General features: G+C 35.9%; 1 protein-coding gene across 1 annotated transcript in view, besides 1 other annotated feature; it reads right to left on the minus strand.

Moving 5' to 3' along the window:
• SLC24A2 (solute carrier family 24 member 2) overlaps window positions 1-16,502 on the minus strand; it is an 800,438-nt gene that overhangs the window by 291,049 nt on the left and 492,887 nt on the right. The window lies entirely within an intron of this gene.
• Window positions 2,776-3,335: an enhancer, noted in NCBI's record as "NANOG-H3K27ac-H3K4me1 hESC enhancer chr9:19801277-19801836 (GRCh37/hg19 assembly coordinates)". NCBI's record gives its function as "activates a minimal SCP1, AML or CMV promoter by ChIP-STARR-seq in primed H9 embryonic stem cells {active_cell/tissue: H9 hESC(primed)}" and the evidence as "EXISTENCE:reporter gene assay evidence [ECO:0000049][PMID:30033119]".

Raw genomic sequence — 16,502 nt, forward strand, 5'->3', positions numbered from 1 at the left:
TTTACAAAGAGGGCCTATGAGTGAGATCTTTAATGTTGATAAATCTTTCCATTGCTTTTATATATGAACAATACGTTTGATCAAATCCTTTATACCACACACACACACACACACACACACACACCCCTGGAAATTGCAGATACTGTTCCACTGACTCTGTCACCTGGTTTGCTAATGTAGAGAAACACATATCCATAATTTTTTCACTTGCTTTATCTGCTCATATGTATGAAGTATTCTTCTTATCTTTGAAGTTCTGTAACACAAATGGCAAGTCTCAGTGAAGATCTATAGCTATAGCTATTTATACCTCTCTCTACTTTTTCTCAAATAAGGTATGCCCTTTCTCTTTGAAACTTTACTTTATTTCTGGTTAAAAAATGTGACTTTTTTCTGTTTCTAGTTGTATCATCTTCTTCGGGAATAATTACAATTATGCACATATCCCCTTTCCATCCTCTGTAGAATCTCCTCCCTCATTTTCATCTTCTTGTTGTATTTCATTTCATTTTATTTCATGGGATTTTCAAAGAAAGCTTCTACACTATTCTACTAACTCTTTTTAAAAATAGGTTTTATTCTACTTCTTGCTGTTGCTAATGGTAGTTTTATTTCTACTGTTTCTATTTGTTTTCTTATATTCAATTTCTTTTTTCAGCTCTTCTAACTCATGCTTTTTTCCCCTACTATCTCATTTCTCCAGTTTTATCTTTCATTCATTCTCTTAGCTTTTTTTATTTTATCTACTTAGAAAAAGCCCTTGTCACTTTTATTTCTGAGAGAAAATACTTTGCTGAAGTATTTGCCTGATACACTTTTTCTGTTTCCTAAAGTAATTCTTCTTCTGTATATTATTTATCTGCCTTCTGCATGTGATGTTTCTTTCAACGCCTGCCACGTTCTGTGTTTATCTATTTGGTAGAATCCATATTGTGTCCTTTACTCACTCATCTTTTACTGTGGTAAGTTCTCTACATGCCTGCACTTAGCTCATGAAGTTTGGAGAGGAATGGGAGGTAAGGAATGAGGTGGAGTCATCTGAAATACCTGTCAGCTTAAAATCAGCTTAAAACCACAGATAACATAAAATCTATAGATCCTCTGCATGAGCCAGATCTTGCCTTAACTTTTAGCCTCCTCTAACTGCAGTGAGAAAGCACATCTAGATGAGCTCACAGCATGGCTCGTAATGAAGTCTAATAGATTGCAGATGTTTTGTGTTTAATAATTTGGTGTTTATTTCTATTCAGTCCACTTTGGTCACCACTATAAATATGCTTAATACGCTCCCCTCTCTCCATCATACTCTGTTTTTTTAATTGGCATATTCATTTCTTTGGGCTGCCTCAACAAATGACCACAAACTTGGTGGCACTGAACAACAGAAATTTATTCCCTCACAGTTCTGGAGGCTAGGAATCTGAAATCAAGCATGGTTAAGGCTCCAGGGGAGAATCCTTCATTGTCTCTTTCTAGCTTCGGCGGCTCTGAGAAATTCTTGGCATTCCTGGATTTGTGGCTGCATCATTGCAGTCTCTGCCATCTTCTTCATATGGCTTTCTTTTCTGTGTATCTCTCTCTATTCTCTTCTTATAAAGACACCAGTCATTGGATTTAGAGCCCACTCTAAATCTAGGATGATTTCTAAATTTGGAGTAGATCATGTTCTGAGGTTTCAGGTGGGCATGAATGTGGAAGGCATTTTTCAACCCACTACTTGTGGAATAGAAGTCCAGGTCTGACAAAATAATATGTTGTGCCCACATTCTGGCCCCTGTAGCCTTGCCAATCCATGATGAGAAAGTGAGGCCCCAAGGTATAGCCTTTCCTACTCTATTAGTCTATATCTTCACTTTTTGTTGTTGCAAGCAAGAAATTAGATTTCTCTTGCCTTATCACTTATTTTGAGGGAATATTATTGAGCTCTGGAACTTTATTACTTTTTAAAAAATTCTTTCAATTTGTCCAAATGTCATTGTACTTTGCAAAAATTCTTTCTCACTGTTAGTTACAAATAGAGCCATTTCTTGGGTTAATTGTGTATGGAATTTCCTTCACTGTATGATTTTGTCTTATTGTTGATTTGGAGGCACTTTTATGAGGTGAGTGGGAAAAACATGTATTATACAGTACTACTACATTTACTGAAAGACTACCTTTTTTTTTCAAAAGCTGCCTAATATTTTATCTCACATATGAATCATAATTTATTTAGCAATTCCCCTATTACCCTATTGTTGTTTTCCAGTTATAAATAATGATGTAATGGACATAATTATGCACATATCTCAGTGTGGAAAGATTCTCTTGTTTCCTTTGGAGTATGTTTCTTGCTACTGGGAACTATCTGGGAATTAATCTGTGTCTCTCTTTCATGAGTGGGATGGAGAGGATGAGTCTTCTCTGCTGATGTTCTCCCATAGATCACTCCACTTCTCTCAATAACCAGTGGTGAGTCTACCTTATATGTAATCCACAGGGAGGGCCAATGGGCCTCCAGCCTTGTCTTGGCTAAAGTCCATAGCAAAAGTATTGTTACCAGGGGGTCCTTGCTCCCAGAGCTCCCAAGATGGTGGCCGGCCGCTTCCAAAATGGGGGTGGGCCACTTCCAAGATGGTGGCAAGCCTCGTGTTCTCTGACCTGGGGTTCTTGGCCTCAGATATTCCAAGGAATGGAATCTTGGGCCATGCGGTGAGTGTTTTAGCTCTATTAGAAGCCCTGGGTCACGGAAGAGAACTGTGGAACCCAGTGACTAGTGTTCAGCTCGATTAGGATGAACCCAGGCACATAGCTGTGCAGGAACAATGGCAAGCCTTTAGCCTGACTGGGAGTGGCAGTGGGTGCCTCGCTGGTTCAGGAGCACAGCAGACACCCTGCTGGATGCCGAGGGATGGAAGTCAGCGGCGGGTCTGCAATGGCAGCAAACAGCAGTGGTGGACGGTGAGCAAAAGCTCAGCTCGAGCCATAACAAACACGGACCAGAAGAGTGTAGTTGCAAGATTTAATAGAGTGAAAACAGAGCTCCCATACAAAGGGAGGGGAACCAAAGAGGGTAGCCGCTGCCAGCTCAAATTCCTGGGTTTATATCCTGATCATTGTCTCTCCCACTGTGCTCTCAGGCAGTAGATGATTGGCTATTTCTTTACCTTCTGTTTTTGCCTAATTAGCATTTTAGTGAGCTCTCTTTACTATCTGACTGGTCAGGTGTGAGCTAAGTTGCAAGCCCTGTGTTTAAAGGTGGAAGTGGTCACCTTCCCAGCCAGGCTTAGGGATTTTTAGTCCGCCTAGGAAATCCAGCTAGTGCTGTCTCTCAGTATTAGGAAATAATCACTGTTTTTTTTTCTTAAATACTTCAGGTTTTATTAGTTTTCTATAAACCAAGAACATATCAGACTGCAGTAGAGGTCGTCCTTTATTAAAGATAATTCTCTTGCCCCTATAAGGAGAGGCCCATGTAGATCTAGAGCTGATAGTGGACAGGTTGTTTGCTAAAATATTGAAATACTTCTATACCACTTGGCACATTATGTCATAGTAACATGATAAGCAGCTAAGTTGATTTATAATATAAACTTTAGAGTAAATTTATTAGTTGAAGTGAAATATTGTAGGATGTCTCAACAACCCCTGATATATGGGCCACCTGCCACAACATCTAAGAAATATTTGTAGCTCTATGACTGGTTGGCCAATGTCTAGTAAACAATGCAGATACGTTGTGTATTCTTTATAAAACTCTGTATTTTGGGAGAAGCACCAGTTTATCTTCATCATGGAATTATAGTTCCTATTGCATCTGAATAGTTTGGTTTTTATTTGTCTTTCATAGCTACTGTGTTGTAAATCTTGTGTAAGTGTATATTATATTGTTTTAAAAATAAGGTCTTATAATATACTGAATACAAATACCCAGGATGAAGGAACAACGAAGTCTGGATATGTTTCTCAACATTTCTGTTAAATACAATGAATAAGAATTGTTTGGATCTGTGGTAACATGGAGAAGAAATGATATCACAATTATATTATTAAAAGGTAGAAATGTTAAATGCTTAAATATTTTATCTGATTAGGAATAATGATCCATTAAATCTCTTGGTTTAAACAAAGGAGACACAATCATTTATTAAAAACCATCAAGAATGGGCAAAATAATAAAAATGTTTAAAAGTTTTAAAAATCAAATTCTTGAAAAAGTAAATGAAATTGTGCGGAAGTCCAGAAAAATAATGGTCAGTTTTAGGCATCAATATTTAATAAAACTTCAGAAAAATAATAATGTTAAAATGGACATGCTATGGTCTGAATGTGTGTGTACCTCAAAACATATATATTGAAATGTAATTCCCAATGCAATAGTATTAGGAGATTGGGCCTTTAGGGGGTGATCAGGTCATGAGGATGGACCCCTCATGAATGGGATTAGTGCTTTTATAAAATAAGTCCTGGGGAGCTTCTTTGCCTCTTCCACCACGTGAGGATGCAGAAAGAAGTTGCCACATGAAGCAGAGAGTGAGCCCTCACCAGACACTGAATCTGTTGACACTTTGATCTTGGACTTCTCAGCCTCTAGAACTGTATGAAAAAAAATTTCTATTCTTTATAAGCCACCCCATTTATGGTATTTTTGTTATAGCAGCTTGAATGGACTGAGACAGGACACATTGTGATATATATGTGTAGTTCTGGCTTGTTAAGAAGATATGTACTGAAATGAGAATGCTTCTTTTGGAAAACATAAGACAGTAAAATTTTAATTATTATTGACAAAGCTTCATCTGCTCTATATAAACAAACATTTTCTTTAAATGAAAAATTCAGTACTTTGAAGAGAGAATTGAAAATTGCTCTTTTGTTTTTTAGTCTTGGGATGCTGACATATAAAAGATCTATAAAAGTATTTTGTTGATGGTGCTTGAGAAAAATTGATTTCAATGAAATATATTGACATAAAAACCTTACTGGACTTTACATAGTTGTACCAGTGTAACGTTAGGGAGAAAGTCTGGAGTTTTAATTATAATTTTTAAAAAATCTGGATATTTTAATGGGGCACTATTTAAGTAACCATATTCAATCGCTTATGATTAATGCCATAAAAATATAAAATAAATGTTTTCTCAATAACTTTATATTTACTACTTTTCATCAAATAAACATCAGAGAGAATTACCCAATAATTCAGAAGAGATGAGAAATGAGATAATAAAAATTAGAGAAATATTTGCACCTCAGTTGTCAGCTTATGGTGCTAGAGTTGAAAAGCAGTTTGGAGATTATGCTATTGTTAGAAATTGTGAAAGGCCATAGTTAAATTATTTGAGAAACTAAAAAGAATTTGGAGCATTGGGGTTTCTATTAATAAAATAACTTAATTGAGATATAATTCATATCCCATTAAATTCATCTTTTAAAAATATACATTTCTCTTGTTTTTAGTGATGAAAAAATGGCCTTTAGTGAGGAAGAAATTTTATTTAGTGAAGAAGAAATGATATTGACAATAAACTAATCTGGTACATCTTCCGATGTTGTGGAAAAATAGTGAAGCGTGAGTCCTCTAACATCGTTATTTTCAGTATTGTTTTGGCTATTCAGGGTCTCTTGCATTTACACATGAATTATAGAGCCAGCTTGTTAAAGTGGATAGCCTGTGAGAGAGTCAGCTGGGATTCTGATAGAAATTGTGTTGAACTGGTAGATCAATTTGGAGAGAATTGCCATTTTAATATTAAGCCTTTCCATCCACAAACATGGAAATTACTTATATTTATTTAGGTCCTCTTTAATTTCTTTCAAAAATGTTTTGTACCTCTTGAAAAATTTTTTAAATGAATATATACTATTTGTGCATATTTATGGGGGTACTCTTTTGTTAAATTTAATCTTAACTAATTTATTATTTTCAAAGTTATAAATGGAATTGCTTTCCTAATTTCAGTTTTCAATTTTCCATTGCTAGTATATAGAAATATAATTGACGTTTGTATATTATATCCTACAAACTTGCTGAACCTGTTTATTCATTCTAATAGCTTTTGGGGGAGTCCTTAGGATTTCCTATGTTCAAGATCCTGTCATTTGCAAATAGAGAGTTTAATTCTTCCTTTGTAATGAAGATGCTTTATTTTCATTTTCTAATTGCACTGGTTAGAACCTCAAGTACAACATTGAATCAAAGTGGTAAGAGCTGTCTTATTCCTGATCTCAGGGGGAAGGCATTCAATCTTCCACCATTAAGTATAGTGCTGGCTGTGCATATTTCATAGATGGTCTCATCAGGCTGAGGAAGCTCCCTTCTATTCTTAGTTTGTTGAGTGTTTTAATTTTTAATCATAAAATCATGTTAGATTTTATAAAATGCTTCTTCTGTATCAAAATGATCATGTAGCATTTCTCCTTTATTCTACTAATGTGGCATATTACATTAATTGACTTTCAGATGGTAGGAGATTTGATTTTAATAAATGATATTCTAACAGAAATGTCAGCACTTCCTTTAACTTTACAAGAAAGAAATGTTTTAATTATTAAAGCTGACATAATTTGACAAACCAGCATAGTGATTGAACACAGAATACTAACATATTATTCTTGACTCTGGTCAGCACAACATGATATGTGGTATAATGGTGTCAATAATGGAATAATTTTACATAAGTACCCACCTACATTTCATGGAAAATATTGACACATTTTGACTTTGTCACTCATCATATTGACTTACCCTCTTTAGCTGTACATTTTCTAAGGATGCTTATGTTTTACATTGAGGTAGTTAGTATAATTGAACATGACAATACCATAAACAGACATTTCTTGTGCCATTTTTCTAGAGACTACTATCCAAGGCAACATAAATCCATTAATCAATACCTTAATGTTTGATTGTTTATCTAACAATAAATTTACCCAACAATGATATTATGCAGAGCAACATTACTTCACCTTATTAAAAAATGCATTTTAGGAGATTCACTCAAAATGAACATACATATGGTTGATTCTGTTGGACTATGCTCTGTCAGGGCAAGTACGTTGTCAATGTGATGGCCCCAAACCTTTGAATAGTACCTGACACATAGAAGGCTCTTAATAAACATTTGTTGCCTGAGTGAATGAATTCAATCCCTTGCTGTGAGCAATTAAACATAGTGAGCGATCAAAACAAGAAATAAAAATTAGGTTACCCTGATTGGTTCTTTTTGAACCTATGATTTCAAAGGCATCTAGGGAGTCAGGCTATGAGCTTGATACTTTTTTTTTTTTTCCACTGTTAGATTCTGGTTTTGTGTGGCCTAAAGCTCAAACACTTTCATGGGTCTGAGTTTTAAAAAAAAAAAAAAGCAAACTTACTTATAGGGCATTTATAGGGTTGGGCAAGTGTGGGTCCCTGAGGCTTAAGCTTTATTATCTTCAGAGTGAAATGTCACTATAGATTCATGCTTGTTGAATGAATGAATAAAGTCTTTTTTTCCTCCTAAAAATTAAAGCAAAACTTTTGTATTACCTCATTTTACTTTGACTTTGGCTCTTAAATTAGATAAAATTAGAATAGGCATAATATTAATCAAGTATTAGGATAACTCTGACTAAAAAGAGTTAATTTTATTTTAAAAATATAATTGTCTAGGAAAACTTTAGCAACAAGTGAAATCCTGAAATTTAAAGCTATAAGGGGTAGAGTGGAATCAGCTAGGTGTGAAGACTGGGTAAACAGTGGAGGAGTGCACCCGCAGATCAGGCATCGGGAGCTTAGCTTCTAGCCATTAACTAAATGTGTGATCTTGAGTATATCCTACAGAAATTCAGAAAATATGATTAGTTGTAGAGTTTATTTGAGTACAAAGCTTGAGGGCATGCACTTGGGAAGCACAGATTTCAAAGAATGGAAATCAATGCTTTGAAATATAAAGGTTTGGGGTCATTTATATAGACAGGTTTAGGGAAGCTTAAGAAAACGTCACCATCTTTCTATATAAGGTTTACTGTGTGGTTACAATGAGTTTAGGATAGAATTGGTTGAGATAGTCTTTTTCTTTCAGTAAAGGTATATTTAACATTCCACAGTGAAGATATAACATTCATGAGATCTTCTGAGCTATCTGATCTAAGTTAGACAGAACAATATAGGAGAGTTAATCTATTAATATAACAAAGGTCAGTGATTAGAAGGGGAGAAGGTCTAGTCTCTGGTTTCTTCTAGTCATTTAAGAACAATGAGAAAGAGAGTTAATCCATAATCTAAGAAGCAGAAGTTGCAACTCTGTGCCATGCGACTCACATCACAGTCACAGCTCTCTCACAACTTAAAGTGTTTTGGGGATTCTAACAGCTTATAGATTTTATTTATTTTCACAAGTAGGTCCCTCCTTTCTTTGCAGATTCAGTTTTCTCACCTGCAAAATAAAGACTCCGTACTAGACAAACTGAGACTCCATCTGCTTTGAATTTTGATGCCTGTTTCTAAATAGATGGATTTGAAAACTCATTTCTGTAATCACAAAATCACATGTCAAAACAGACACTGAAAGAGAAAACATAGGGAGAAATGCTAATTTTACACTACATCTTATATCTCATTTGAGATTTTCCTTTATGTTAAAAAAGAAATGAAAAGTGGACTTCATTTGAATTCTGTCCTTTTTTGGAAACAATCCTGCTGATCTGACTCTTGAACTTCATAACCCAAGTGGAGTTATTTATAATGCCAGTACTTTAAGTTAGTAAAGTGGTGCATCTTTATGGTAACAAGGAACAAAAGGAAGGTGATAGATTTGAAATTTATGTAAGAACTTGGCTTTTGCCATTTATCTGAACACGACATCATCTTCTAGCCTTTTCTGTTAGTACAGGAAGTTGTTTCCTAATTTGGTTATTCAATGTGATATTTTATTTTGCTTTTCTCACATCCTTTAGGGAGAACTGATATGTTAGAAGAAAAAGTACAACAGTGGATTCTATTAGAAAGAACAAATGAGAAAGAAATTAGGTATATTTAGGAGAAAGGATAAAATGAATGGCTCAAGTAGGCTTGTAGCTGCAACCAAATCAAAATATAAAAGGGTTACTATGACTACAAAGGCAGTATATTTGAATAAAAATGGATATGAAAGTCTCTTTCACATGCTAATCGAAATTGGAGGAAGTCTGTCATTTCAAACTGCAGACAGTCTTTCTCCACCTCTTCTTCTACATTATGGCTTTTGGATTGAATCTGCTTTAAACGAAACTATTGCCCTGTGAAACTGAAAAGCACTTGGAGTTCCCTTGTGTAAGGGCTAGTTTACACCAGTTCTAGCACTGTGACTCTGATTCTTCATTTGTTCAGGGTCAGAGCCTCAGAACCCACCCCACTCGTTTTTTGTTTGTTTGTTTGTTTTCTGATGAAGAAAAAGCACAATGATCCACCTGAAACATCTTATCTTTAAGGTATAAGTCATCCCTTCTAAATGGTTATTCCTTTCAGTTAATTCAGAGAAGACTTATAGAGCAAATTCTAAATGCAAGGCACTGTGGGGAAAGACATTTGTGGGGAAAGATAGATAATTTGGATTCTGCTCCCCAAGGACTCCCTACAGATGGGGAGTTACTGAGTAATCTTTTTGGGTTCTTTCTGGATCTTGCTTCAGGCACCTAAGAAATAGCCACTGTTCCTTGTAGTTAAACATAGATTGTGCTGGAAGGTGCCCGAAATAAAACCAGTATGGTAGTGTCAGCATTACCAGATGACACAGATGTACTTGAATTAACTGCAGTATTCTTTCTCATCTCTGATAAATTTAAAAAACATACATGGATTCTGCTTTTAAAAGGCATATGAGTAATGAATTGGAACTTACTTTATGTCCCATGAAAGAAATGGGTGACATTTACATAGAGTATTTGACTATAGAATTCTTTGCCCTTAGAACAACAGTTAACAAGTTTAAGAACAAGAGTTTTCTGATTTAGTGTGGGAAATTGTGAGAAAAATGCTAACCCGTCCAAACCCAAAGAATGGACTCAGAAGCACAAAAAACAGCAAAAAGTGAGACTTTTAATAGCGGTTTTGCAAGATCCGATGGATGTCTGGTAGGCAGACACATCCAGGGCAGCTACAACAGGTAATTTATCTCCTAGCACACAAGTCCCTCCCCCAGTTCCTCATTGGTTGAGCACTATGGGGTTACAGTCTTTCAGGATATCGCCTAAGTTTCATTATCCCCCTTATAAGGTTATACCCCAGTTCCATTCCCTGCTTAAGTTTTGATTTCCCAGTAATGAAACTTTCTTCCCTTTTATGGGCTGACCCCTCCTCTACATTCTGTTTGCTTATTATGACCTTCTAGGATCATGAGCCATGTGATGTGTTACATCCGCAGGCTGGCTGCCAGTGTTTAGATTTACCATGCCTTACAAATGGACCATTTAAAATGTTTTCTTACAGAAATGAACATTTCAAGATTATTTAATGCCTAGATCATAATAAAGACTTACTGAGGATGGGCCCCAATCTCCAAAGATTGAGGTTCTGAATCTTATTTCTGGTCCAGTCATAACCTGTGGTTACATATTTGCAAATAAATGAGTTAATGAGTATACCTTTGGCTTTTTTGTTTTTCTGTTGTTAACTTTTTAATTATGTACATGTATAACTTTAATTTTTTTTATACGTCCACAGGAGTCATCTGGGTGATGGAATGATAGGATAGTTTTGGTTTTCTTTCTAATATCTATGTATTTTTTAAAATCCATCAACAGTGGACTTAGAAAAAGCAAAAGAAAACAACAAAATCTGTTGGATTTCTAAAAAAATTACACAGGTACAGATTAAATGCTCTGAGATGCAACAGAGTAAAAATAAATAAAGACGTTAACATGTTAAGGATTTACAAAACTAACGTACCTGGTGGAAGATTATTTTCTCAGTATACCAAATGATACAGGAGTTAAGAAGAAATTACGTAGGCAGATAGTGAGGGTATGGAAGCCCTCCGTAAGGATTTTTTTAATGAAAAGCAGCCCCAAATCATTTTCCTTGCTAACAACAGCAGCCTATAAAATCGAGCTGCAGACATAGATGCCTGCAGTTGTGCCAATCATGTTCAAGATGGCGGCTCTGTCTTCCCTTCTCTTTGTCAGCCACATGTACAGTAAGGAGCGGACAGGATGGCAGGAGCCAAGGGGAAAGTTCATTTTCATAATAAGATTAGGGTGGGGCAGCCAGCCTTCCCCTGCACTATGTAAACGTCATACCTGATCGAACCGATCTGTGAGCCCTATGTAAATCGGACACCACCTCCTCAAACCTGACTATAACTTCCGTTGCATCAGCCACCTGCTGGTCTTTCCTCTTGGAAGTTCCCTCTCTCTATAGAGAGAGCTGTTTTACTTTCTCTTTTCTTTTACCTATTAAACCTCCACTCCTAAACTACTCGTGTGTGTCCGTGTCCTAAATTTTCCTGGTGCCAGACAACAAACCCCGGGTATATACCCCAGACAACGCAGCCACTTCACAATGAAGAGTCTGTAGAATATTTCAGTTTGGGAAACTCCGATCTAGCTCTTGGGGCATAGAGGCCACACTGCTGGCTAGAACTATAGCAAGCAGCAAAGAGAAATTTAACTCAGAGAGAGTAAGTGGTATACTGAAGTCTAAAAGTGGGGAGAGGTGGTTCCAGGGATTAGTGAGGGTAGCTGGGACATCCCCAGCTCCCCGAGGAGCACCTGTGCTCATGCCAGGCACAGTCTCAGGAGAACAGATACCCCAGCCACTGGAAGTTTGGACATCCACAGCAGAGGGTCCTCAGTGCATGAGAGTGAGCTGCCAGGTGGAGCAGGTAAGGTTAATATTTGCAGGTATTTTATCTGTTAATAAAAAGTGTCTGTTTTTAGAGACTAGTCTTTTTAAAAGAAAAACCTGTGTAAATAGGAAATAACACAAGGAACTGTGATTAAGCCAAACAGTTCGAGACAAAATAGGAACTGTATCAGGAACATGAAGAACTGATCGGCTCTAATGGTCACTGGAGGAAATGGGTTCCCACAGTCCATCGGTGTTACACATTTCCATAACTATGTAAAAAGAGGGTACATCTATGTGTTCCAAGATGCTAACTTACTTTAATGTCTGAAGAAAGAGAGCTGATTCAGTTAATGCGTCCGCTTAAGTAGCCAGTTATAAGGAAAACCATAATAAAATCCATAGCTCTTTTGTATACAACTGGTAACTTGTTAGAAAACAAAATGGACAATGACAGTTTATCATAATAATTTTAAAAACTATGTAATAACCAATATTGAGGATAATCTTAAAAAAATGTGTGAGGTCCAAAGAAAGAAATGTACAAAATTTGTAGCATAGTTGACTAGAAAAATAGGTATATAAAATATTAATCACATTTTTATTCTTTAAAATTTTAAAATAAAACATACTGGGAACGTTTCTAACTGAAATGTTTGAAAATAAAATTCTTCTTCTTATTCTCTCCACAACCTCTTTCACTCCGCAGTGAACAATCTGCTATGTATCTTTCAAATAAGTTACGGACTGAATGCTCATTTGCCCCACAAAATTCATATGTTGAAATTGATGTTATTGAGGTGGGGATTTGGGAGGTAATTAGGACATGAGGGGGAACCCTCATGAATGAGATGAGTGCCTTTATAAGAAGAGGCTGAAGAGCTAGCTCCCTCTCTTTCTGCCATACAATGAGAAATTGACAGTCTGCAACCTAGAAGGGGACCCTCAACAGAGCCCAAACATATTGGCACCCTGATCTCAGACTTCCAGCCCCTAGATTGTGAGAAATAAATTCTGCTGTTTAGAAGCTACCCAGTCTATGGTACTTTGTTATAGCACACCAAACTAAAACAAAATATTTGGAGTATTTATTTCAGTTACATTACTGAACTTAAATTTGCAATGGGTTCATTTACATATAATGTAATTACAGTTATATTTGATTTGATATATCAACTTGCTATTTGACTTACCTATTTTTCTATCTTTTTCTTTCTTTTCCTGCTTTCTTTGGAATTAATCAAATAATTTTTATTATTCCATTTACCTCAGCCTTCCAAAGTGTTGGGATTACAGGCATCAGCCACTGTGCCTAGCCTCTATTAACTTTTATTTTTACATTTATTTTTTACCATTTTTTCAGAGGTTAATTTCAGCGTGCATCCTCAATTAATTTTAGTCAAATATGGATTATCTTTTACCACTTTTCTGATAACATTAAAACTTTAGATACTTTTAACTTAATTATCTCTGTGCTTTTATATTTTATTTCTATACATATTTTAAACCTTGCAAGACATTATTATTATCATTGCTTTGTATACTCAATATTTCATTTTTAAAATCTTTTTCATTGCTTTTCTTTACTGCCTGCATTTCTGTGTTTCAATCTGGAATAGTTTTCTTTCGGGCTGAAAAACTTTCTTTAGTATTTCTCTTAGTGCAGGTTTGCTGATAAAAATTCTGTTTTGTTTATTTGAAAACATCTTTATTTTGCTTTCATTTTTGAAGAATAATTTCACTGGATATACAGTTTTAGACTAAATGTAATTTTCTTTAATTTCTTTCAATACACCATCTCATTATTGTCTGGCTTTCAGAAGTTCTGGTGAGAAATTACTTTCCATTTAATTGTTGTTATTGTTGTTGTATTTGAAGATAACATACTGTTTTTTCTTAGCTGCTCTGTGGAATGATTTCTATTTTTTCAAATCACTTTTGGAAATTCTTCAATCCTTTAAAATTTCTTCAATTTTCCCCCATATTCTTTTTTCTCTTCTTTTGGGAATCCAATTAAATTTATGTTAAACTTTGTATTATGTGTATTGTACATTCTTCTAAATTTTATATCCTGTTTTCTCTTAGTGCATCACTCTAGGTATTTCCCAGCAATCTATCTTCTACTTCACTAATGCTCTCTATTGCTATCTCTAATCTCTTGTTAAACCCATGATTTGAATTCTTACTTTCAGGTATTATGTTTTTTAGTCCTAGAACTTTCATTTGATTCTTTTTATGAATTCTAATTATATAATACATTTCTTTATCTTTTTGTCTGTTTTCTCTAACATATTAATCTTGCCATTTAAAAATCTTTGATAACTCCAATGTAAGAACCACCTGTAGTTCTACATCTGTTGTCTAATTTTTCTCTTAATTTTGTGGCATATGGTACTGTCTTTTGGAGTGTATAATAAATTTGACTGAATGTCAAATATTGTTTATTACTAGATAGCCTCCAGATAATTTTATCTCCTTCCAGAAAGTATTCACCATTTTTTTTTGACAGAAAAAATTGGGTCTGATAATCTTATTCTGTTTAGCCACTTTAGTTTCAGTAAGTGTCTGCCTACTTCCGTTATTCTTTGCTCCTAAGGTGTATCCCTCCAGGGCTTTCAACGAAGAGCCTGATGTATTTTCTGGGCACCTGAAACGTCCTGAGTTCTAATCCTTGCCTCTTAGCTGAAAACTCTGTTCTGTTTTCCAGAGGCTTTCTACTTAGCTCCTTAGTCTCCTGCTCAGTTTAGTTTCAGAATTTGGTAAATGGTTAAAAGAGGAACCAGCCACATGTCAGGCTTAGTTCTCTGCCCCTGCCTTCCTCAGAGTTTTTGGCCCAGGATATTTCTAATTTTGATTTTCCAGCCCCATGACACAATCAAAATCTCTACTGGTTTCCCAGTTAGCAGCCCTCTGTTTCTGCAAAGCCTGGAATCTCAATCACCTCTTGCCCTGGCTCAGAATGGGCAAATACCCTCAGAGAGAAGCAGTTGCAAATGATCAGCTCAACTCACTTCTCCATCATCTTCCTCTTTTTTTTTTTTTTTTTTTTTTTGAGATGCAGTCTCACTCTGTCACCTAGGCTGGAATGCGGTGGCACGATCTCGGCTCACTGCAATCTCCACCTCCTGGGTTCAAGTGATTCTTGTGCCTCCCTGAGTAGCTGGGACTACAGGCGCACACCACCATGTCTGGCTAATTTTTGTGTTTTTTGGTAGAGAAGGGGTTTTGCCTTGTTGGCCAGGCTGGTCTCAAACTCCTGGCCTGAAATGATCTACTCACCTGAGCCTTCCAAAGTGCTGGGATTACAGGTATGAACCACCACGTCCAGCCCATCTTCCTCTTTTCAAAATTTAATCCTTGTTGTGATCTGAATGTTTGCATCCCCTCAAAATTCATATGTTGAAACCAAATCATCAAAGTGATGATATTTGGAGGTGGGTGCCTTTGGGACGTGATTAGGTCAGGAAGGTGCAGACCCCCTGAATGGGATTAGTGCCCTTATAAAGAGACCATAAAGAGCTAGCTAGTCCTTTCCACCATGTGAGGACATAGGGAGAATGCACCATTTCTATAAACCTGGAAATGGGCCCTCATCAGACAGTAAATCTCAGGCACCTTGATCTTGGACTTCCCAACCTCCAGAAGTGAGAAATAAATTTCTATTGTTTATTAGCTACCCAAGGTCATAGTACTTTGCTATAGGGGCCCAAATGAATTATGGCATTTCCTATAGTTCTAGTGGCTTTAGTAGCCCCTTAATGGCTTTAAACATATTTGTTGTTTGTTTTATATTTTTGTTTAGCTTTTCTAATGGTTCTTATTGGGAATATTGGTCTGCTGTAAGTTATTCATCATACCCACTGATATCTCATTGTCCAGACTCTATAATATGGTCATATCTCACACTGAGAAAGATAATTATTTTTTATTTTGAATGACAATATGCCAAATAAAAATCAAGATTCTGTCCTCAGGAAAGAATGGGGAGCCTGGATGTTGGGGTAAGCAACTAGCACTCTGTTCCAAAGTGAGAGGTGGAAGCCAGTTATAGTCTCATGGAAGGATAGGGAGTGGTTTTCACATATACTGGGGAAATGAGTTGCCAGAATCCACCTCTGACTTACGAGAGCTCATAAAACAATAATAACTTGGTTAACATTTGTTATCAAAATCATCCAACTCTCTATGTTCAGATCCATGCTTACCAAACAACCTTGAGGTAGTAATTGAGCTTTCCTTAGAGACTTGGAGAGAATGTGCTAATCCTCAGAAATGAATCTTCCAGTTCATTTGGCAGTTGTATTTCTAAAGGTAAATAATCAAAACCAGTGTCTAGGGCCATAATCTGCATGATGAACCAGTCTTTTTTGGCTCACTTTGCCCTGGATAAAATGACAAAATATAGTTTCTTGACCTACTAGAACTTGATTGCTGCTGTGATTCTCTTATGAAAATATTGTCAGCATTTAGACATTAGGAATCTCTTGCTAAATTTAGCAGCAGGTTCCTGTCTATGAAGTAAAAAATGAATCCTGTTTAGAAAAGAATCTTGAAAATGATGTCTCAGTTTCTAACAGAAAGGTAAAAAATTTTATAAGAGTGATGAACACTGAAAAGATAATGTCTGAAAACAGTTTTCTCCTTATGTTAGGTTTGGAAAATGTGGTCTTGAAATTTGGTGAAAATACAACTCACAGAGAATTCTAAAAGACTATCC

This window comes from Homo sapiens, chromosome 9, assembly GCF_000001405.40.
Source record: "Homo sapiens chromosome 9, GRCh38.p14 Primary Assembly".
Taxonomy (NCBI): Eukaryota; Metazoa; Chordata; class Mammalia; order Primates; family Hominidae; genus Homo; species Homo sapiens.